A 24,730-nucleotide genomic window follows, 5' to 3' on the forward strand; every position below is an offset into this window, starting at 1 on the left:
GAATATTTTTAAATTAATTTAATAGAGTAATTAAAGAAGTGGGAATTTCCCATGTTGGAGGAGTTCACATTTTGTACGACAGTCCTTATTTTGTCTAGATCATATTGCCCTTTGGTGTTTTTTAAATTTTTCAAATACACTATGTCATATATACCAAACAATATACATATCATACAATGTATGCCGTATAGGATATGAAGAATATACTCACTGTCTAGCCTAAGAAATAGAACATTGTTAATTCCTTTGAATCTCCCTGTGTGTCTTTCCTCATTAGTATTTCCCCAGAAACCACTATTCTTAATTTTGTAATTGTAATTCCTTTACTTTTCACTGTAACTTGTCTACATATTCAATAAGGTAAATATATTGTCAAATTATGGAATGGTGTTTAATTTTGTGTGAAACGTAGCATACTGTGTGTATTCTTCTGCCTTTTGGTTTTCATTCACATTTGTATATAATACTCCATTTCCTCAAGGTCATATTCTGGCAACCATATCTGGAGCTTAGCCTGTTGAAATAAGGAAGAAAATTCTTTAGGTCACCAAAATGACTTTCAAAAACGTATCCACTTTTCTTTCTAGGAAAGGGCCCAAAATTTTTTCTCTGAGAACCCAGTTTTCTTTATTTAAATAAAATACTAACAAGTGTGGTGCTTCAACCCACAACACTGAGAGCAACAACATAGAAAAAAAAATAAGGGCCGGGTGTGGTAGCTCACACCTGTAATCCCAGCACTTTGGGAGGCCGAGGTGGGCGGATCACCTGAGCTCGGGATTTTGAGACCAGCCTGACCAACATGGAGAAACCCCATCTCTACTAAAAATACAAAATTAGCCGGGCATGGTGGTGCATGCCTGTAATCCCAGCTACTCAGGAGGCTGAGGCAGGAGAATCGCTTGAACCCGGGAGGCACAGGTTGTAGTGAGCAGAGATTGCACCATTGCACTCCAGCCTGGGCAACAAGAGCAAAACTCTGTCTCAAAAATAAATAAATAAATAAATAAGAGGAAGCAAGTAATACAGATTAATTATAAGAAATTTTTAACTCAAATTTTGATGTCACCACTATGTTAAATCGAGTCCCTTCACCCTTTTGTTAAACGACTACCTATAAAATAAGACCAGATGTGCCTTCTAGCAAGATTAGCAATAATGAATATATATAATCAGCTTATCACCCATAAATTGTCAACTATAAAAGAATATACTACAAAAGAATATTATTATGCCCTGGAATATATTCTTTGGCATAAGAAATTGATGAAAAGGTGTTTAGTAGAGATAAAAACAAATTCAAAATTGAAACAATAACAGATTGCAATCATTTGAGAGTTTCCCATGTAAAATATATTATACTTAGACACTATATGGCTCCAGAAAGTAGAACTCTCTACTTTTTACTGAGTAGCAATTATAATACATGTTGTATCAACTGTCAGGCTTAGTATGAGAAAGACATTTTGTTAATAATCTGCTCAAAACTGGTAATCACTGCTTCATTAGGTAATGAATGCCCAGTCAGTGGAAATATTTGAGCAGAAGGTATATGAGAATTATATGGTAGTAACAGCTACTATTTATCTTATTCACATACATGAATAAATACCTAGCACAGTTCATAGTGCATAGTAAGTGCTCAATAAATATATATATATGAAATTATCATTTAAAAATCTCTAAAATGTTGGTATTATCTTCAGTTTAGAAATCAGAAAATGGCAACAGAGAAGGGAAGTAACTTAAAGTCCCACAGCTAGCTGGCACTGGAGCAAGGAATTAAACCCTGCAAATCAGCTCACAGGATATCCCAAACCATGTACTAATTATTACATACAATGGGTGCAGTCAGTGCAAGTCATTATAATTAATTGAAGAACATACCTACATACTTATTTTAGAATAGGTAATTCAGTTAGTAAAGAACCAAAATAATTTTTGGATATTACCTATCTTTGTCACAGTCTTAACTGAATAGCAAAGTTGGTCAACTTAGCTGACTACAAAATACACCATACTATGCACTCTACAAAGCCAAATGAATAAAGTGAGGGGGGATTCTGACAAGGATGGTATATCCCATTTGAAGATGCTGTGTAACCTAAAATGAATAAATATGAAACTCAATAATAATAAAGGATTATTGCAGCAACTATACAAGAGACTTGTTTATCAGTGTTTGTGTATTTCTTGTAGTTTGCAGTGCTTGTACTGTGAGAAGACCTTCAGGGACAAAAATACACTTAAAGATCACATGAGGAAAAAACAGCATCGTAAGATTAATCCTAAGAACAGAGAATATGACAGATTTTATGTCATCAATTATTTGGTAAGGCTTTCTTTTCATAACTTAAAATTTGATTGCAGTACTGCAAACAAAATCTTTCTGAGGACCAACTAATATTTGAATAAGCAATTATTGCAAAAGTCAAAATGTAATTGAGGGGCACATTCAAGTAGTGATTAGCTTTGAAATGGTTAGAGTACAAGACATTTGATTTGACTTGTCTTTTATTTGACAGTGTTTATGTAGTAAAAATGTCATGTCTCTAGAACTCACAGTCATCTTGACCAAAAAAAAAAAAAATACAGCATTTGGATATCCACATACCATCCCCCATTTATGTAATATCTTTTAACTTGGGGCCAGAGACTCCTTTCTTTTTTTTTTTTTTTTTTTTTTTCTTTTTTTCTTGAGATGGAGTTTTGCTGTGTCGCCCAGGCTGGAGTGCAGTGGCACGATCTCGGCTCACTGCAACCTCTGCCTCCTGGTATCAAGCAATTCTCCTGCCTCAGCCTCCCCAGTAGCTGGAATTACAGCTACTGTGCTGCACAGCACTGGGATTACACCACACTTGGCTAATTTTTGTATTTTTAGTAGAGACAGGGTTTCTCCATGTTGGCCAGGCTGGTCTCGAACTCCTGGCCTCAAGTGAACCACCAGCCTTGCCCTCCCAAAGTGCTGGGATTATAGGAGTGAGCCACCACACCTGGCCAGAGAGACTTCTATATATTCTATTCAAAAGAAACTGTTGAGTACTGGATGTGTTAGGTGCTATGCAAAATAATTCTTTAAAAACAATCTCTTTGCTCTTTCCCCTTCACCCCTACAAAAGTGTGTATCTTTATCATTCTCTTCAGTCAGCTTATTTTTAAGGGAAGTTTCAAGGAAACCAAACCATTTTACTATGGAAGGGGATTTTTATTTGTTTGGCTTGTAGGGTAGACTAACCAGGTTACCATGCCAAGCATTTTAAATGTATTGATAGCTCTCCTTTCCAAGAGGCATTCAGATGGAGACAGTGGGGGATGGGGAGAGGCATTTGGAAATATGGGAGGGGATTTTTGATAGACAACAATGACTGGGGAACTGGGCCTGCCTTCAATCTACTGATTTTTAAAAAATATATATGACAAAGGAGGGAAACTACTCATATAAAAGAAGAGGTTATGTAACTCTCCAGAGGAATTGGAAGAAAAACAGAGAGTTCTGTTTTGAATGGGCATTTTTCTTAAGCAAATGGAATTTTTTTCTCTCTCAATGTAAATGAATTAAAACCCAAACCCACTGGTCACAAAAGGCTAATTGAATATAATCAGCCATTTTATCTATTGGATAGAAACAAGCATATCCTGAATTATGTTGGAAATCTCTGCTTTAGGGTGGAATTTTGTCTGTTCTAACTATTCCTTGTAGTGTTAAAATTCCCCTTGAGAAGCAAGTTTAACATGTGTTTGAAGATTGACTCTAAGAGGTTGCCATGGTTTTCTACAAATGTTTTACAACCAGCTAAAGGCAAACGTACCCTTTGAGCTTTTCAATCTTTTCTTGAAATCACTCAGTCATTACTTCCTAGAGCAAATGCTGCTTCAGGACCCAGCCCAGTCTAATAGGGAGTGGACTTCAGTGCTAGCTCTAAGAAATATTCAGCTACTGCATCTAGCTATAGGAGCAATTTAATAGTTCTTCCTTCTGGGGCTCTTTTAAAACTAATATTCAAGATCTTGAGACTAGCAGAACATTATATAGCTGGAGGTTTTCACCTTTTAGAGGAGACTTCAAGGGATTTGCTCACTCTTATTCTGCCAGCACTTTTAGAAAAGTATGATACTTCATTTCCTGGGCATCAAGTAGGGTAGCTGTCAAAACTGAAATCATCTGCCAGGGCCAGCCATCTCTGGATGAGCATGGCAGATTGTGCTGCTCATACAGGGCACGGATTTGATGTGGCGTGGACTACACATTAAGAGAAGTGTTTCAAAAGAAAGTAAGGGCTTTAACAACGTACAAAATGAAAATTAAATTACAACTTTAGAGTCATATTGATAGAAGTCTTTTTTTTAGCTAGCAGCTATTTGAGTACTTATAATCTGCAGGCACTATCCTAGGTATTTATATTAAATTGTTTAATTTAAGTCACAATTTTGTGACACAGGTATTGTCATTAAGCCTCTTATAGGTAAGGGGACTGGGGCACAGAGAGGCTAATTTTCCAAAGGTCACATGGCTAGGGCAAGTTACTTATCCTGTGCATCAGTTTCCTTCATTTTTACAATTGAGACAAGACTAATACCTACATCTTATGCTTTGGGTTGGGTATTTTGGCCAAGTAATGGTGATGAGTTCATAATGATCTATTCTCCCACCCTTGCCTATTCTCTTTTATAATAAACTAAAAAGTGAGCCAAGGTCAAAGTAAAGCTGACTTTAATCAGCACTTTAAGGCTCTGCTCCACAATCTTCATCTTCCTAGCCCGTTTCCACTTCCTATTCCTATTCCCTATTTTCTATTCCCTATTCCTATGCGAAATTCCTGCTGAGGTAAGTAACCAAAAACTGTAAGAATGATTAACAAAAAACGAAAACCTAAAATGTGTTGATGCCTTAGCATTATGGAAATGATGTAAACACCTTTGAAAAGGAGTGAAGAAGCCTATTGGCTTCACTAAAGATATACACAGGCACTAAACTAGAGGGGTGCTTACCAGAGGTATCAGGCTTAGTAACATTCTAGGAATATTTGAAGGAATACTGTTATATATTTAAAGTATAATATTATATAGAACAAGTGTATAAAAAACTGTCCCAAATACTAACAGAGTATAGGTAGAGAAAAATAAAGGCCAGTGTCTTCTCAGTATCATGTTAGTATTATTTCAGACCTCATTAAAGAATAATATTTAACGTGAAGAACATGAGTAATAAATCAATATGAAGAATAAATTCTAAAATTTTAAACAATGAATAATGACAATACTTTATTTAAAAAAAAAAAAGATAGATATTCCCTTGTTATCCCTCTGAGGGAAAAGGCTGACATGAGTGCATGAGTGTGGGCAAAAGATAGAATTGTTATATTAGTAGTGGGTTTATACATCTATTTTATTGACATCATACATTCTGCATACATTTGAGTGCCTTCCAGGTACCAGATGCTAGAAGAGAAAGAAAAAATATTGTAGATAGAAAGGCTGATTTGAGTCACTACTTTCAAAGAGTTCAGAAGTCAGTATGGAAAACCACCATGTAAGCACGTTAGTTTGAACCCTTTGTAATGGTATATGGAAAGTCAGCGTTCGACCTCTCCTATAGCAGATATATGCAGTCATTGAGTCATTCACACACAGAGCTCCTCACCTCCACTTCAAACGCCATAGACTCTGCCAGCGCAACAATGATGGGAACATCCAGGGTATCCGTAGCAAGATACACTCTAATAGGCAGCAGAAGTAGGAGAGCAAATGGACAGAGAGGCTGCATTTGGCTTTCTGAGCTCAGCAAATTGACAAGTTCCATTTTCCTTCTTAGGTGAGATAATTTCTGTGCTGAATCATTCATATCAGTTTCTGAATAGTAACAGACTTGCAAAAACATTAAAAGTCTTTTGCATAGTCTGAATTATCTACATCAAATTCTTGCTTTGTTTTCTCACAAACAAAAGAGTTCAACAGGTAGTGAGGATGGGTTGGGGATAAGGTGCCAGTTAGTTTCACATTCAGATAACCCTTCCTCAGAGGGCAACAGACTGTTTAACATCGAGGCTTCAGCTACATATTCCTACGATGCTCATGTTTCAAACCCTGAGTTTTTCTAAAGGGAATTGGTTTTGCTATGATTTTTATCATTCTTTGATTTAAATTTTTTTATTCTTAAAGTATACAAAGCCACTTATAACAAAAGTAAGCTTTTAACTGATTTTTCATAGTTTTTTATAGTTTTCTCTAGTGAAGTTATTTACACTTAAAACACTTCTCTTTCTGTTTCTGGTGGAGTTTTGTGTAAGCACATGTAAGTGTGTATGTATTAGGGCAGAAGTGTGATGGGTGAAGGGGATCTTTTTTTTCCATGTTTTTTTCCACCCTCTCATTATTCATGAGCCATCTGATGCAGGGGTTTGAGGGGGTGTCTGAACATCTTTAGTGATATGCCTTCCAAACTTTGTTTTTCTTACATTCTTTGCTTTCCTGACATGATTCATTAGCAGGCACAGTGTCTTAATTAGAGAGTTATGTGCTTTTTTTTTTTTTTTTGCTTTGGGTCTTGTTTCTATAATAAATCATATCTTTAACTGTACCAAATCAGAGCACTCTAGGAAACTGGGCCACTTTCACGTGCAAATTGCTTATTTCCTAATATACTGATAAACATGTACATTCATTTTCCTCTCAAGTGGGGTAAGTGGTTAATGCTGTGTGGCCTAGATAACTCTCTACATATTGTACTCAACACTGAGGAAGTTGCAAAATAATGCTTTGAGTTTAGAAGTTTAACAGTGAAAGATATTTTTTGTACTTTTGGCTCAAAATATTCATTGACAAGCAACATTTGCCCTTATCATTCAGAATGATCAAATCACAGAAGGCCCATACTTTAGTAATACCTTGCAGCAATAAAACCATGACCTTAAGTCCAAGTACAGAAAAACCAAGTAAGGCATGAAAGATTTAATTCATTACCAAACTTTCTAACAAGCATCTTGTTGGCAGTGTTGAGGCCATTTTTGGTGTTCTGTAATGAGATTCAGACACTTCATGATGACTCTGGGAAGTACATTATAGAGTCCAAATTAACCATCTCTAATGACATTATGATAGATCTCTGTATATCTAAATGTATGCATCATTTAGCTGATAATGACAGCTTCAAAACCTCTCATTAAGTTGATGAATAATGGATTTTCTTTCTCCCTCTAAATCATAATGGCACTCATAGTTCTTTGTTTTTAGCTAGATGAATACCTTTATTTGGGGGAAAAAGAGTCCATAATTGAGTGAATTTTGGTTTTGTTTTTCCAAAAGGATATTGAACAACAAAGCTATCCATGCTTGTAGCAGGTCAGGTGGGCCTGATCCTAACCATAGTTTAGCTGCTTGAAAACATATCCATTAATGTTCCTACCTCTCTCTTTGTGACATTGTCTGCTTTTGCATGGCACAATGGGAAGATTGGATAGAAAGAAGACAGGGCAAGAAGAGAGGAAGAAACGGCCCAAGGGGAACAAAAGAATTGGGCCAAAATAAATCATTCCTACTCATCACTCCATAAAGTTTTGCTAACGCTGTGACTAGGCTTGCCAGACATAGCGCCAAAAGAGTGGAACTTTTCCACTGATGGCAAAGGATAAAAGGGATTTGAGTAGGTACTAGAGCACCTACTCATGCCTAGTACTATTTCTTTATAGACAGTAACTCATTCATTTAATCACCTTAAAAAAACCTTTTGAGGTAGAATCTAAATTGACCTCAAGTGTATTTTTTTATTTTTTATTTCTAACAAATTGAATTCTACTTTCTAATTCAACTCAAAAAATAGTTTATAGTAATAGTACCCACTGTATGCCAGGCTCTGGAAATGTAACAATGAACAAAGGCCATTAGAATCCCAGATATTCTAATACTCATTCAGGGTTTAGAAACACTGGTTCAAATTTAAGAGAAAAGAACTTGACTGAAAGGATATTGCTGCTTCTCTAAAAAATTATCTCATTAAGGTTTCAACTTCATATTGCTTTTGCACTGTCATTAAGTCAAAAAAAAGTGTTGAATCAAACCATCATAAGTTGGGCCATCTGTATATCCTACTTGTACTGTTTCAAAACCATTTAAACATGGGTGGTTTTGTTTATTTTTTTGGTTTTGATTTTTTTCAAAGTTCTACATACTCTCTCCCTTCTCTTTCCCCCAATGTCTCTCATCCCTCTGTTCTTCCTACAAAGGAACTTGGAAAATCGTGGGAAGAAGTTCAGTTGGAAGATGATCGGGAGTTGCTGGACCATCAGGAAGAGTAAGAGTTGTTATTGCTGCTAATTAATTGCAGTGTTCCAAGAGTAAGAAGACAATGCTTTAGTTTGGTTTAAATTATGAAGCGGGAACATAAGAAGAAAAAAATACCTTCTCTGAGCCATGCATCCCTTCATGTAATGTGGCAAAAACTTGAATTCAAAATAACTTTGACATAAAAATTCCTAAAGACACTGTTATTCCAACTAAATTAAAGCTATTGATTGAACACACAAGTAATATATAATTCAGAGAAAAATACATTCCGAAGTGCTTTGCCTGCTCAGTTAGTGCTCAGACCTTGAAGTGATGTGATCTTTGAACTCTCCATGTTGCTGTCATTGGAATAGAGAATATAACTGCATTGAAGTTAATCCTGTTCTGTGTTCGGGCCATTGATGACTAACTTTAAACATTCACAGCTTCTTTGCTTGAAATTATAAGCTTGAGAAATGTTCTTTTCAACCTAAAAGGATTTCTTATTTTTCATCTTCTTTTCAGTCAAAGCTTTTTGGCCTTTTTTCTCTCTCAGGATTTTAAATTATTATTATTTTAATAGTGAGGTAAAGCCCAAAGGTAGAGAGCTGCCATTTGCTGAATTTTCTTGATGCATAGAGATTCAGGCAGAGAGTCTTCCAGACTGAAATAAAAACATCTTTCCCATTAAGACATACTAGTTGGAATATTTAATCAGTGAATGTTAAAGTTTTAATGACACAAAAGGTTATAAATAGTAAGTCATGACCTGGGCCGGGACTGGTGGCTCCCTCCTGGATGGATAGAGTTAAGGAAAATGTTTCCTGTTTTCTAATAGGGAAGCTTCTGTGTGAATTGGGTTAGGTTGATCTTGAGAGTCTTATCAGTGATCATTTCTGAGCTTGCCATGAAAAATTCTCTCATCTGAATTTGAATGGGTGTTCCTTGTCTCCACAACTCTTCCCTCCTGGCAGTTTTCCTGGTTTGGGAATGATAAGAAGTTGGTAGTATTTCAAAAAGGGAAATGCCAAGGAGCGGGGAAAGTGGTAAAAGGGATCCTGTATCCTTTTTGAGTTCCCTGTCTACCGCCAGATTTAACACTTGCCCAGTTTAAAATAATCAGTATTTCCCTCGTGAAAGAGACACGGTTTGCCTTTGTAAAATACACTATTTGTCATGCAGAAACACATTCCCGGCATCACACCTCACAGCGTGTGCACTCAGTGGTTGTGGTTAATGGGAGAGAGCATCACATTTTCTGATATGTCTCCTTTGCAAATTAAACCTCATTGTCTCAGGACGACATTCCTCTGACTGTAGACTGAGATAGCTACTCAGAAGAACGGCAAATAGGAGAAAATGGAACAGCACCTGTTCACTATGTATATTAATTTCATGGTGCTGCTTTGAATTTCAAAAGCTATATCAGAGAGTCATAATATGATGTGACAGTCTTTACCAAAATGTCAGAGTTGAAAGAGATTGGCAGGGTTTTTTAGTAAGGAGAAAGCAATACCAAGTCACTGTGTAGTATACTCTCTTAATGAAGGGAATCTCCGTATTTTCTCTCCTCTTTTTTAATTCAGTGACTGGTCTGATTGGGAAGAACACCCTGCCTCTGCAGTCTGCTTATTTTGTGAAAAGCAAGCAGAAACAATTGAGAAGTTGTATGTCCACATGGAGGTAAGATACCTGTATTTATTTGAATTTTGTTTTATTCTGACAGGGGAAAGCTAGTAATTGTTGCACCCTCATCTGCTTTTACTTCAGTTTCCCAATCATTATTCCAACCAGAAGAGACAGGCCAGGTCTGTCAGGGAGAACCAGAGCTCAGGGCAATTTAGTTAGTACAGTTGACTGGACCCGAGTGAGCTGTTTGTTAGTGTGAGATTTCTCAGACCACTGATGCCATCTCACCTTTGAGATGCTTACAAGATCATTCTAGCTCAGCAGGTGGGACAGGTTCTGAGTCTTTTTTCCAGTGCTTCTTGTGCTGGTGAATAGGAGAGCAAGAAGGGAGAACATTGCCATTTACAAAGGTCCCGGAGGAATAGGGAAAAAGGAGGGTGGGTAGAGAGGAGCTAGGGCATGATCCTACAGTTCCTTCAGGTGCCAGGATTTAGAGAGAAGAAACTAGGGAGCATTCCTAGTGTGGGCTTTCCCTTCTGGATGCCATTTTTATGTTATAGTGAAGCTTGGAGCTAGCAGTTCTAAACCTTTTTCACCCCAGTATACCTGAGAGAGGACACACACCCTGCACCTCTGATCCTTAGCTGCACAAGGCGGATAGGGAAGGGGAACATGTAATGATTCATGATAGTATCACAGCTTGTGGGCAGAGGGGTGATTATAATAGAAAAATATTACTGGATGATTCTGATATCTCTCCGTCCCCTCCCTGCAGCCACCTCTGCCAATAGTGGACCATATTCTCTACTTTCACCCACTTTCACCTCACCCTTATTCAGAAATACTGTTCTTAGTTTAGTAAAATAAGGGCCTAGAAAGCGCTCAAAAGACCATAAACATTTTCCTTGATTTTAGTTTCTCTGAAAAAGGTTCCCACTAGTATGTGTGTATAATTTCCTGTGTTTAGATTTAATTCATAATATCTTAATGTCTTTGTATTGAAGGCAGCCTTAGTATGCCTATCCTGTGTAAGGATTACCTTTTCGGCATCCTTGACAGGTGTCCTTAACCTCTGCTGGGTCACTTTCAGTGATAACATCACGAATTCCTAATCATCCTTCATATGGTGCTACACTAAATGCCATCCCAGTGAGTTAAATGGTCTTTATCATCTGTGAGATTGTAGGTTAAAACATTTACACAGACAATTGCAGGTGTCAAACAAACACGCAAAAAATAAGTGCATTGTAAAAATCAAAAGAAAGCGTGATTTATAGGAAGGTGTGAGTGAAGAGAAGCTTTGAGGTTTAAACAGTGTATTTGACAGCATAAAATGAAAAGCAGAATTTGTAAAAATTACCTATGTGGGGCAAAGAACCTATATCCATAATTCTAGTCCAAATGCACAGTACAATAGAAACATATCTTACCTACACTTTTATCACACTGCAGAATGCATACATAGACTTCTACATTTTTAGAAGGCTACAAAATGGATAACATTGTAAATTATAAAAACTATAGATATAAGCTATGAGCAATTATAATGTTGTTGCTGTTCTTTGATATGGAGTCTCGCTGTGTCACCCAGGCTGGAGTGCAGTGTCACGATCTCAGCTCACTGCAACCTCTGCCTGCTAGGTTCAAGCGATTCTCGTGCCTCAGCCTTCTGAGTAGCTGGGATTACAGGCACCCACCACCACACCCAGCCAATTTTTGTATTTTTAGTAGAGACGGGGTTTTGCCATGTTGGCCAGGCTGGTCTCAAACTCCTGACCTCGGGTGATCCGCCCACCTCGGTCTCCCAAAGTGCTGGGATTATAGGCGTGAGCCACCGCGCCCGGCCCAATTATAATGGTTTAACTGATTGACATGACTTGTTTGGACTATGCTGTAAAAAAGTTGGGTATGGAGGGAAGTAGTTAGACTTGGAAGACTTCAAAAGCAGAAGATACCGAACTCAGACTGAGTTTCTAAACTACTCAAACTCCTGTGAATAAGTTGTTTATAACTTCAGCCTGAAAGATTAAATAATTCATATGCTTACAGATGTATTCATTCCTTTTTTAGGATGCACACGAATTTGATCTTCTCAAAATAAAGTCAGAACTTGGTAAGTTTGATTCAGAGGTTTTTTTCTGTGATGCTTCATTTTTTATAAACCATCCTGTAAGCTATGCCTATGTTCAGTAGCTATGATTGGAGAGTGCACCACCAAAACATGTCTCTCTATAGATGGTCTTGACAGAACTCTCTGTGAAGCAGTGATGCTCAACCATAATAGTCAAATATGGTTTTTGGTTTCATATACTCCTTCTTTCTCTTTCCTACATATATGAGTGCTTCAAGTGAAATATAAGTTAGTGGTTAATAATATATCATAAATTGGAGGGGGCTAGTGGAATATGGATTTTTAAGTCAAACTAGAGTTCAGATTCCAGCTCTGGCACTTACTGGCTATGACATTGGGCCTCAGGTCAGAAAAATGTTATGAGGAGTGAATAATGTATGGTAAATGGCTACTGCACTGCTTAGCAGTATAGCTAGGATTGTTTGTTATAGGTGTACCCAATGTATCATTCTAAGTATCACAACAATAGAACGATTTGGGGCATTAAGACATACGTAAAGTACTGACTTGCTAATAGATCTAAGACAGTAAAAAACTTACTTCTCACAGCTCAGCTCAGTCACTGCTTTCCTAGGTCCTTGGATGTGTTACTTTGCTGCTTTTATAGACATATATATACATTGTTTATATAATTAGCTTAGTAGTCAAGCATGGGCTTTGCAGCTGACAGCTATCTATGCGATGCTAGGCAGTTTCCTAATATGTAATGTAGGTATGATACTACCTATCTGATAGGGTTTTATGAAGATTAAATGTATTAATACATGGAAAATTATTAGAATAGTGCCTAGCTCATAAGCCCTGTGTAAATATGTGCTGTTATTATTTGGTATCTATTATTATGCTTTATAATTGTACTGCCTCTTCAGGTTGATTAATAAAAATAAGTGGCTCCTTTAAGAAATTATAATAGTGCAAAAAATGGGTCTGAACAGTTGTCTAATGATTCTGTATTTTGTCATTTTCAGGATTAAATTTCTATCAGCAAGTGAAACTGGTCAATTTTATTCGGAGGCAAGTTCACCAATGCAGATGTTATGGCTGCCATGTGAAGTTCAAATCCAAAGCAGACTTAAGAACTCACATGGAAGAAACTAAACACACTTCGCTGCTCCCCGATAGAAAGACGTGGGATCAACTGGAGTACGTACTGCAAAACCAAATGTGCACTTCTTACTCCAACTCTTTGATTTTGTCCCTTTATTTAATTTCTTTAAGCCTACAGAAAAAAAAGGAATACATATTTATTATAAAAAGTATACATCAGTACAGTGTGGGGAAAAATGTAAAAATATTCAAAATGCTTATTTTTAAAATAATCCCCCTCTTACAAATGAAACCAAGTATTTTTCAGTATTTGTGATATGGAGATAGATACATATGTAGAGAGATGAAGTAGATACAGATTTTTTAAATTATATTTTATTAACAAAATATTGTAAATATCTTTCAATAGCCAGTATCCATCTGTTGCATCCTTTCTAATGGTTGCTAAATATCCATTGTATGGATATAATCTATTCTGCGAGATACTTAGGTTGTTTCTTACTTTTTGCTATTATAATGATACAGTGAATCTATATGCCTACATTTTAGCACACTTATCTAATTATTTAATTAAGCTGAACTCCTAGAAATAAAATTACTATGTCAGAGTTTGCACACTGCTAGGACTTTTTGTATATATTTTGTATATTGGCACTTGAAAAAATTAAGCAGTTGGTCATCTGTTGTTGGATTCCCATGTATCCTTTGCCAGAACTTTGTGGACTGGTTCCCAAGTATCCTTTGCCAAGAACCTTCTGGACTGGTTCTCACATCGTTCTGGATAACCTCAGTCGAGGGCTCCTCTGAGAGACTGTGGGGTTCTAGCTGCCCAGAGCTCCTTCTGTTCTTAGGGAATGTTAAGTCAGTTCCCCCAGAACTTTAACCAGAAAGTTCTAGTTTTTCTCCTTCAGAAAATCCCACACTTGTGAGGGTACCCTGTTTTTATGATCCTTCTTATATAAATTAAAATTTGTAATATTCCAAAAGTAACTTCAAAATGTATTCAGAGAAGGAACCAGAATAACAAACTTTATATTCCGTAAGTGTTTCCTTTTGTGATTACCTAGAAAGAAGGAACTATTAGGCTGGAAAACAAAACACAAGGAAGAGCTTATTATTCTCAATTATTTGAATAATTTGTGTTTGAAAAATTAACTATATTTGAAGTTTGTTAACTTATAAGGAAGAACTAGGACCTTTGAGTAGAAATGAGAAAGATGTCATTTTTAGCTTCACAGGAGGTGTATCAAACAACTAGATCTACCCACTACTGGGGTCAGCTACCTTCGAAGATAGTGTGTTTTGTTATCATGATAGATGATCAAGCAGAGGCTAAGTGGCCAGCGGACAACTCCAGAGGCAACTCTGGAGGGTGGGAGGTCCACGATCTTGGTTTACCAAATCTGGATAGTAGATTTGGTAAGGTTGATGTCAGCCAGTAAAAGTCAAAGTGAAAGCAATCAGAAGTTGTCTCCAGTATAGCCTTTGCAAAATGCTATGAAATTGTTGGCAAGGATACCTGACAAAATTATAGTAAATGTGTACATTCAGCTACCTGGACACTGTATTAGCTTGGTAATTTAATACTATGTATCTGTGGTTGTTTTCAGGTATTATTTTCCAACCTATGAAAATGACACTCTCCTGTGTACACTATCTGACAGTGAAAGTGACCTGACAGCTCAGGAACAAAATGAAAATGTTCCCATCATCAGTGAAGATACATCTAAACTGTATGCTTTGAAACAAAGCAGTATTTTGAACCAGTTGCTACTATAAGAGTACTTGAAAACCTAGAAGAAACTACCACAGAAGCAATTTTTCATGTTTTTCTCCTATGAGACAGATATGAAAGAACAATTTAAATTTGAACATCAACAAAAGATTGGTCCTTGGTGAAATAAACTTTTCAAAAATGAATGTTCTTTTCAAAAAATAAAGTAGAAAAATGCACTTACTAAGAACATGAAAAAAAATGAAGTAGGAAAATAAGATGAAGACTTTGTATTTTGGCTGTAAAGTTTTATTGTGTGATCATCTTAAATTATCTCACTTCATTAAACTCATAATTATATATAGAAGTATATGTCAATTACAAAGAAATGAAATGTTCAAATTATTTATAAACCTGATTTTTCAATCAGTAGTTTCAGTCTCCTCCCCAAGGACCTTCTTCATCCAACAAGTTGCAAAATTTGAATATCCCTTCTGTACTATATTGGGTGAGCTGTAAATGTAATGACTAAAAGAAAAGCCACAGAAGAAAGAAGAAATGGTCAAAGACGTGGATAATATGCAAATTGGCCATTATATTAGAACAATCAAGAGCTGACTGTGTTATTACCACTTTCTGCCTAGGGTGGCCAAATTCCCTAGAAATAGACATCAAGCCAGTTAACTTCACTTTTCCCTGCAATTTGTATGTCACTAACATTTAAATGCCATTTTTTAAAAACATAACCACAATACCATTATGACACCTAAAAAACATTAACATTAACTTAATATCATCTGTTTTCAGTTTTTCCCACTTGTCTCAAAATGTATGTTTACAATATTATCAGTTTCATTACTGATGAATATTATATGCCTCCTGATAAGATGTACTGAGGAGGACAGAATATCACTTTTGTAGATTTATACCAAAAATGCATAATTTGGATATAATGAAGAAACAGTCAAATCCAAGTTTGAGGCTGGGCACAGTAGCTCATATCTGTAATCCCAGCACTTTGGGAGGCCAAGGCAGAGGATCACATGAGGTCAGGAGTTCAAGATCAGCCTGGCCAACGTGGCAAAACCCCATCTCTACGAAAAATACACAGATTAGCCAGGCATGGTGGAATGCACCTATAGTCCCAGCTACTTGGGAGGCTGAAGCACAAGAATCGCTTGAATCCAGGAGGCAAAAGTTGCAGTGAGCCGAGATCACACCACTGCAGTTCAGCCTGGGCAACAGACCAAGACTCTGTCTCAAAAAAAGGAAAAAAAAAAAAAAAAATCCAAATTTAAAGGACATTCTACAAAATAATTGGCCTTTACTATTCAAAAATTTTAACATCATAAAAAACAAAGACTGAAAAACTATTTCAGATTAAAGGTGGCTAAAGATAGCGTAGCATGATCCTGGATTGGATGCTAGACCAAGAAAAAAAGTTTTTCTTTTGCTACAAAAGACATTAGCAGGACAACTGGCAAAATTTGAGTAAGATTTATAGTAAGTGTTATGGTATTGTTGTTAATTTCCAGATTTTGATAACTGTACTGTGGGATGAGAATGTCTTTGTTTTCAGGAAATATTCATACACACTGAAGTATTTAGGGGTAAAGGAGCATTTTGTTTGCAACTTACTCCCAAAAAACTAACAAGGGTATATATAGAATAATGAAGTAAACATGGCAAGATGTTAACATTTAGGGAATCTAGGTAAAAGTATGTGGAGATTCTCTGTACTATGGCAACTTTTCTGAAAGTCTGAAATTATTTCAAAATTAAAAGTTTTTTAAAATGTCTTTTTTCAGCCAGGCACGGTGGCTCACGCCTGTAATCCCAGCACTTTGGGAGGCCAAGGTGGGCAGATCACGAGGTCAGGAGTTTGAGACCAGCGTGGCCAACATGCTGAAACCCCGTGTCTACTAAAAATACAAAAATTAGCCAGGTGTGGTGGTGGGCACCTGTAATCCCAGCTACTCAGGAGGCTGAGGCAGGAGAATTGCTTGAACCTGGGAGGTGGAGTTTTGCAGTGAGTTGAGATCGCGCCACTGCACTCCAGCCTGGGTGACAGAGCAAGACTCCATCTCAAAAAAAAAAAAAAAAAAAAAAGTCTTTTTTCAGTTGTTTTGTTTAATCAGGTTCCAAGTGAGATCCATGCACTATATTTGGTTGGTGTGGTTCTTAAGGGTCTTTTAATCTATAACAATTCACAGTTTTTTTTTAATGCCACTTATTTGTTAAAGCAATTGGATTAGTTGTCTTGCTTTCTGGATTTGGATGATTGTATCTTCTTTATATTATTTAACATGTTCCATTATCATTCATTGTCTCCATCCATTTCTGCTACTATAACAGAGTACCTGAGACTGGGTAATTTATAAACAATTAGATTTTTTTCTCACAGTTCTGGAGGCTGGGAGGTCCATGATCTTAGTTTAGTGTCCAGTTCGAGAGCCCAGTCTCTATTTCCAAGATGGCACCTTGAATACTGCATCCTCCAGAGGGGACAAAGGCTGTGTCCTCACAGGACAAAAGGATGGAAGGACAAAAGGGCCTAGCTAGTTCCCTCCAGCCCTTTTGTAAGGTCATTAATCCCAGTGATGAGGCCTCTGCCCTCATGGCCTGATCACCCTTCTGAAGGCCCCACTTCTTAACACTGTTGCAGCAAGAATTAAGTTTCAACAGGAATTTTGGAGGGAACATCAAAACATTGAAATTATAGCAAACCCTTTTATAAGGTCATTAATCCCATCCATGAGGGCTGTCCTCCTGGCCTAATCACCCTTCTAAAGGCCTTTCTGACCTTTCTTTACAGTGGGTTTTTATTTTTATTTTTTACTTTTCTATTTTTGAGTTGGAGTCTCACTGTCTCCCAGGCTGGAGTGCAATGGTGCAATCTTGGCTCACTGCAACCTCCCCCTCCCGGACTCAAGCGATTCTTCCACCTCAGCCTCCTGAGTAGCTGAGACTGCAGGCACCCACCACCACGCCTGACTAATTTTCATATTTTTAGTAGAGATGGGGTTTCACCATGTTGGCCAGGCTGGTCTCAAACTCCTGACCTCAAGTGAGCCACTATGCCCAGCCCTACAGTGTGTTCTTTATGCAGCATATGTGCTACAGAATGCTGGAGTCTGAGGCTCTGGTTTTCAATTATTAATGCTAGTCTGTGTAGGTAATGCCCCAAAACTCATCTTGGAGTCGTATTGCCTGTCCAGAGACTCAAGAGTCAACCTCCTCCCACCATGCGGTCCTAACTCAACTGTATTTGTTAATTACATAGGCTCTGGCCACAGCTCTAGATTTCTAACCCTCCCACTCTGCAGACACCATGAAAGGCTTTTATTGAAAACTAAGCAAACAAAGATATAGGAGCCTGTATTATAATGAAAAATGCCTAAGTTAAAGATGCAATTAAGTTAAATATTTTAAAACCAAAGATTAAAGAGGCAGTCTAGACAATTAGACTGTGCCTACAACAGTCTGTCTCTAGGAATCAGGTTCATTCAGGACATCAAGGAATGTCTGAAGAGGTTTTTAGAGCATGCTTCAGTGTTAGGACAGGAGCAATGGAAGAATGAGACAATAAACTAAGTAATTGGGAAGGAGAAAGCTTTTTTGGAGAAAAAGTTGATAGAGAACAAGTCAAATAGATATAAAAGGAAAAATGAAATTGAAGAACAGACCAACACATAAAAGGGAAAAGATGTTGTACTTAGGGTTTAATTCATATTAGCAGTTGTTTTTTTAAGTGGCTAAACGTTTTCAAGTTTATTTGGGGACAGAAATGGCAACTTGGACCCAAAGAAATCTAACAAGAATAGAAGGAAAATCTCAGCAAACTGTACTGACTCCTAGATGGAGCAAGAGCATAGGCCACTATTGGCGAAGGACTCTATGTAGCTCTAAGCTACATAGAGACTCCTTGATAAAAACCACTGGGAACTGCTCTTCAAAGACTGGGACAGTGATACGAAGTGTACCCTGAAAGTCAGGACAATTTGAGAGGAAATATCAGATGAAAGCAAAACATTCAAGGAATTATTGGATGAATTTCCAGTTGTTACTATAATTATAGATAGGCATACAAGAGCTTCTTGTGTCCCAAAGGAAATGTGCCTGAGAAATTTTTAGAATTAAGACAGAATTAAGGCAACAAGATGGAAGATAACAGAAGAGAGCCAGGCAGGACAGTGATAAATGGAATCCAAGCTCAGATCAGCTGTTAATCCAATTAGAAAATGCAAGCCAGTTAAGATTATCTAACTCAGAAAGGTGAGGGCGGCCAAGATTTTTTGGACAATGGTTGCTTTTGGCAGACCAAAACCTACTGACTTATCTCTCACAACTGAAGTCCCCATTAGATAAATCTAGAACCAAATGTTAGATAAGCACATGTCCGGCCCAGAAAAGAGAGAAAGTTAAAAAAAAAAAAGAAAGTACAACTAGCATTAGACCTATTTACATTAGGGAAGGAAACAGATCAACATAAAAAGTAAGTTATACTGTAACAAATTCAGCTATTTCTCCCTAAAAGGCCTGCAGAGAAACCAAGCACTAGGACACATCCACTACTGCCAAAAAAAGGAGCAGAAGTACTGTTGGAACCTGGACAGATGGAAAGCAAGGGATGGTTATATGCTGAGGGCTCAGCAGAGGTGTCTGTCCTCACCAGGTCCCAGTGCAACTAGTCTAGTCCAGTTGCACACAATATCCATCCTCCATTTCTTCAATAATAATAAAGTGTGGTTGGGTATAAAGCTACCTAAAATGAAAATTACATTTCCAAGTTCAGTTATCCTGAACTGCACTTCTTTTGCAGCTCAGGGTACTTGTGTCTAAATTGTGGCTAATGAGATATAAGCAGGAGGTCTCATATGACAGCTTCCAAGAGTCTTCCTTAAGATACTGGACATAAGCACCCTCTGCTTTGTTTTTCATCCCTTCCTATCTCCTGTGGCCTAGGATGTAGATATCTGCATATGGGGCAGTGAAGTCGAAGTCATGCATGGTGAGACATCAATGTCAAAGGAATCTGGATCCCTGACACCTTGGAGGACTCTACAGCCCTGGAATGCTGAAATACACATTTATGTGAAGGAAATAAAGTTGTACCTTCCCACAGTTATTTAAGGTTTTCTATTATTCATAGCCGAGCCTTATTCCAACCAATACGCCTAGGGATTCAAGCTGCAGAAACATCAACAGCAGTTTTAGTTCAGGAATAGGCCGAGGATGTTTTCCAGCTGAAATAAGTGAAGGAATGAAGGGGAAACTATTCTTAGAAGCTAGCCTTCACAAGCCGAGGCAATTCCAAAGCCCAAGGCAACAACAGGAGCCACTGTGGCAAAGAACTGGGAAGTGAGCACACAGGAGAGTGTGGAAACTATGCCATCATTATTTAGAGCACAAACTCCCTGGATCAGGGGATGTTGAAGAGAGAGGGCTCAAAAGGAAAATACAGAATGGGGAAAAAAAGGGTCAAAACAGACCGCGCAACTGGGCTTGCCATCATTGCCTATTTCTCAACTTGGCAAGAATGCAAATGTCTCATATGTCACCCTGAGAGAAATATCTGTGGATTCTTCCTCGAGGAATGATAAAACATGTTAACGTCTTCAGGAGGATTCCCCCCAATCAGGTTTAAGTTCAGAGATCAAGGAGATCAGGTAACACACAGATGGACTAGCATCCTGGGGAATCCAAAATCAGGATACAGCTAAGTCTCTGTTATGGAGAATGCAGAGCTCTGGGAGCATCATTTTGTCTTACTACTGAAGATCGTGGAATTGATTCATTTTCTTTTGTTAAATTTTGTTGCTGGTTAGTGCTTTCATGATACTCTTTTGAAAGTGAGATATACCAGAAACTTTGTGTTTAACTTCAAGTTCCAATTCCAGAAGAAAGCCACACTAGCAATTCTGAGACACTCTCCAGGCTGCTGGAAGAAACCACAGTGCATCCCAGCATCAAGAATCTAGTTCAGAATGAGCAGAATAAGAAATTGGGAAGGATGAATTTTAGACTCTGATGTCTTCTAACTTTAACTCAGACAAGAGAATCCAATCTTTGTATTTTAATTTCTCCCTGAGAGATTCACAATGGTCAAGATTGTTTTTAAATTTGAAACATCAATTTTTACCAAAATGTTTTTTATTGAAGCAACTTTACATTGCCATATTATCTCTTTGCAGAACCTCTGATACACTATTGTGAACATGTTTAGACATAATCAGGAATGGAAGATGAAATTAGGAACTTTCAGCTGGGGTTCAGCATGGCCCTGGAATTACTTCCATCAATGAATTGCCTTCTGAGAGCAATAGCTACATTCTTCACCACCAGTCCTAGGAGAATACACAAAGAGTAGTTGTCATTCGGGTGGGGGCGGTGGGAGATGCACTCCTGAAGGTGGGAGCAGCACTGTCCTGATAGACCTCCTGCAAAGGAAATGGTCACACTCTTGGTTGACCTTAGCTTAGTGGGTAAGCCCAATGAGCAAAGAGAACAAAAACCTGAGGAGTGTTGGAAAAGGGGAAACTCATCTTCCAAAGTATTTTGCTTCTATGAGAAAGGGAATCCATTACATAACATTCTTGGTTTCTCTCTGCTCCCTCTTTCACTTCTACCAGACAGAAGGAGTGAATTTTCTGACTAGAAATTTAAAGGACAGGAACTAGCATCTGTGCTTTGGTCCCTTCCTCCTTTTTTTCTTTGGGATTTGCCTGTCTGCAGAGAGAACACAGCCTGTTCTGCTCCACCATTGTATAAACATCAGAGTGGAAGGGTCTGCCCCATGCAGTTGGATGACTGGAGTTGTCCAACACTGTCTGACTATGTATATAAATAAGTGCCTAATTTGGGGGCTCAGTATTAAGAAGCTTGCTTGCCCACAGCAGTAAGCCATGTTCTGCAATATCTTAATTAGCAGTAAAGGTGATATTTCATCTCCATCTGCTTGGCCATTTATCAGCTGGCTCTTCTAGAAGGTACACAGCCTCTTAGCAAATGGTGGATGTGGCCAGGATTACCATGAAACCACCTTTTGGAAAGTTACCACTAAATACACTAAGTCCAGTCAGTCAGGAGGCAGAGTAGACTTGTTTCACATAGAACTAAGGCTGGACAAAATAAAGCCAGAGAGCTGATAGCTTGGATATCATTGTGAGCTAGTTAGACATAGACTTTCTGAAAAACCATCAGTACTAGGGTCTTAACTTGTTGAGTCCCACAAACAGCCTTGAGAAAGAATTTTAGTGCTTAGTGCAGGTCATTTTTTTAAGAGGTAAACCCGGAATATACCGGTTCAGGAAGTAGGAGAGTGAAAAATGCAAAAACAAAAAACAAAAACCATGAAACTGTATATTAAGGAAGAAGTTGCTGGTATGGGAACTAGGACTCAACCTCACTGAGGACCTCTGGGAGATTGCACAGAACACTATTCTTACAGTTGCCCCACAACACCCCCCGCCGCCCCCTCACTACCACCACCAAGGGGCAAAAAAGCTAGGCCATTCACCCACTCCCATTGGTCATGGGTTGAGGGCTGTTCCCAGGGGCAGTATTAATTCCCTGGCACTTCCAGCTTGCCTCACACATTGATTTAGCATCCTCTGAAGGTAGGGGAAGGCCCTCACACAAAGACTGAGAAACTGTTATTGCAAAAAAGAACTGGCAGATCATGACAGTAACTGCTACAAATCTAGGTGTTGTGTCACCACAGAAGAAAACATTTTATGTAAGGCTCAGTGGTCCTCACAGCTTTTCTATCTCACTTGACAATGAAGATACAATCTTACAAGGTGTCTAGCCAGGAATTTTATCTTCATCAAGGGTAAAGAGACGATGGGAAACAGGATCAGAGAGATGAGGACCTGCCAAAAGAAAAAAGCACAACAAAGTGACATCCAACAATATAATATATGGGAATTTAAAATGAGACAAAGCCAAGTCCTGAGCTTTTTTAATGAATGGAGGAAAAGCAATTCTTTGAGAGGATGGAGTAGAACATGCACTCAGAACAAGAATAAATGTTTTAATGTCAGTACTTTGCTGAATGTATATGCAGAATTGACAGACTCCATCCATTTCCATCAAGGGCATCAAATTTCAACTATTGTTTGCTTAGTCTGCAAAAATAGCCACCCTGCATCCTTGAAGCTTAATTCAACTCCTTCAGTAAGTTTTAGATGATGGGTAGTTAAAGGATTAAACTGCTGCAGTTGAACTCTTATGCCTTATAATTGATATATTGAAAGGCTAAAGCATGTTCGATTCCTGATGATAGCAATCTGCAGTGGCATCATAAGCACATTAAATTCAGACTGAAACATTCAGCGAAGTTAATATTGACTTCACAATGTTCTAAGATGTAAGTGAAGCTATGCTCTTTTTGCCTTATAAAATTAGACTGCAAAAAAACAATTTTTGAGGATATTCCCAGTCAATTGACTTGGTTACAGAGTGAGCAGGAAATCAAACTCTAGTTAAGTTCATAGATACTGGTGTTTTATTCATTTGGAAACAGAAGAGAAAAAGAGTATGCTGTAGTAAATTGTTTATAAATTCTTTTTAATTCTAAAGGAGGGGGAGAAAGTGAAAGTAAAAAGCAAACATTATTAATCTCTTACTGTCACAAAAAAAACAACCCACTCTTACACCTCCATCATTGCCTAAAAGACAAAAACTCCAAAGACTGGCATTTGAGACTCCTCACAGTCTGCCAAAACTGCCTCCTCCCTCGTCAGGTCAGTCACCAAGTCCTTTCAGTTCTATCTCCAAACACATCTCAGTCCCTGCCACCATGGTCTGTTATCTGAACTACTATAACAGTTTCCTAACTGGCCTCCCTCCTTCCTCTCTGGACCCTCCAGTGTGTTCCTTCGTAACAGCTAGAGTGGATTTTTAAAAGTCCTCCCATGGAGTTGGAGACCAGCCTGGCCAACATGGTGAAACCCCGTCTCTACCAAAAATAATAAAATTAGCTGGGCATGGTGGTGCACACTTGTAATCCCAGCTACTTGAGAGGCAGAGGTGGGAGGATCACTTGAACCCCGGAGGTGGAGGCTGCAGTGAATTGAGATTGTGCCACTGCACTCCAGCCTGGGTGACAGAGTGAGACTCCATCTCAAAAAAAAAAAAAAAAATCCTCACATGGTGTAACGGACCTTCTCGGTTACTTACCCAGCATCCATTCTCCTTTCTTTCTTTCCTTATAGTTTTCCAATTCTTTGGGGAGCCACTCTACCCTCATTAAGTAACAGCCATGCCATTTGGAATTGACCCCAGCCCTACCTCCAGGGGGAGGGGAGTGCTGACTAGAGTAATAACTTCACCCTCACTGCAGACTGGCTTATTGGATTAGAGATGGGCAGTAACTAAACCCAAGTCAAAGGTGCATAGCAAGCCTGGGTCACTGTGGCCAGTCCAGGTTGCTCCAATCAGGGAGAAGCTGAAGATTTCTGCTAAATGACTCAGAGAAACTAAGACTCCCTTTCCTTATGAAAAAACAAACCCGTACCCTAGTTGCTGCCAAAGCCGTCAAGTGGCGTTGAGAGAAACTAGCCCAAGAACTTTCAGAGAAGAGCAAAATCAAGATAATTTCTGAGGAAGGAGCCAGAGCCCTCACCTGAGAGCTGTCCTCCTCTGGATTTCTCATTTAGTCGGGCCATAAACTCCCCTTGTATTATTTGAACTTTTTAAGTGGAGTTTCTATTACTCACAATAAAAGCTTCCCAGCTGATACAAATGGCTTCCAGTTGAACATGGAATCAAGTCTAAACTTTCTTTTTCTTCTTTTTTGAGACAGAGTCTCGCTGTGTTATCCAGGCTGGAGTGCAGTGGTGCGATCTCGGCTCACTGCAACCTCCATCTCCCTGATTCAAGCGATTGTCCCACTTCAGCCTCCTGAGTAGCTGGGATTACAGGCATGCGCAACCATGCTGAGCTAA

The 24,730-nt window shown here is 38.3% G+C and overlaps 1 protein-coding gene and 1 long non-coding RNA gene across 4 annotated transcripts in view; one reads left to right on the top strand and one right to left on the bottom strand.

The window, feature by feature from the left end:
- ZNF277 (zinc finger protein 277) overlaps window positions 1–16,050 on the top strand; it is a 137,240-nt gene extending 121,190 nt beyond the window's left edge. For all 3 annotated transcript variants that reach the window (NM_021994.3, XM_011515768.4, XM_017011720.3), the window contains 6 exons: window positions 2,200–2,332; window positions 8,220–8,287; window positions 9,846–9,942; window positions 11,959–12,001; window positions 12,988–13,162; window positions 14,677–16,050. In NM_021994.3, coding sequence (NP_068834.2) covers window positions 2,200–2,332; window positions 8,220–8,287; window positions 9,846–9,942; window positions 11,959–12,001; window positions 12,988–13,162; window positions 14,677–14,845 — 685 coding nt within the window. In that variant the 3' untranslated portion in view covers window positions 14,846–16,050. The remainder of the gene's footprint in view (window positions 1–2,199; window positions 2,333–8,219; window positions 8,288–9,845; window positions 9,943–11,958; window positions 12,002–12,987; window positions 13,163–14,676) is intronic.
- Window positions 310–22,657, bottom strand: ZNF277-AS1 (ZNF277 antisense RNA 1). Its single transcript, NR_186626.1, has 3 exons — window positions 22,580–22,657; window positions 13,171–13,238; window positions 310–514 (listed from the first exon to the last, which is right to left on the bottom strand). It is a non-coding gene; the product is annotated as a ZNF277 antisense RNA 1 (long non-coding RNA).
- Between the last annotated feature and the right edge of the window lie 2,073 nt (window positions 22,658–24,730).

Source organism: Homo sapiens, chromosome 7 (genome assembly GCF_000001405.40).
Source record: "Homo sapiens chromosome 7, GRCh38.p14 Primary Assembly".
NCBI classification, from domain to species: domain Eukaryota; kingdom Metazoa; phylum Chordata; class Mammalia; order Primates; family Hominidae; genus Homo; species Homo sapiens.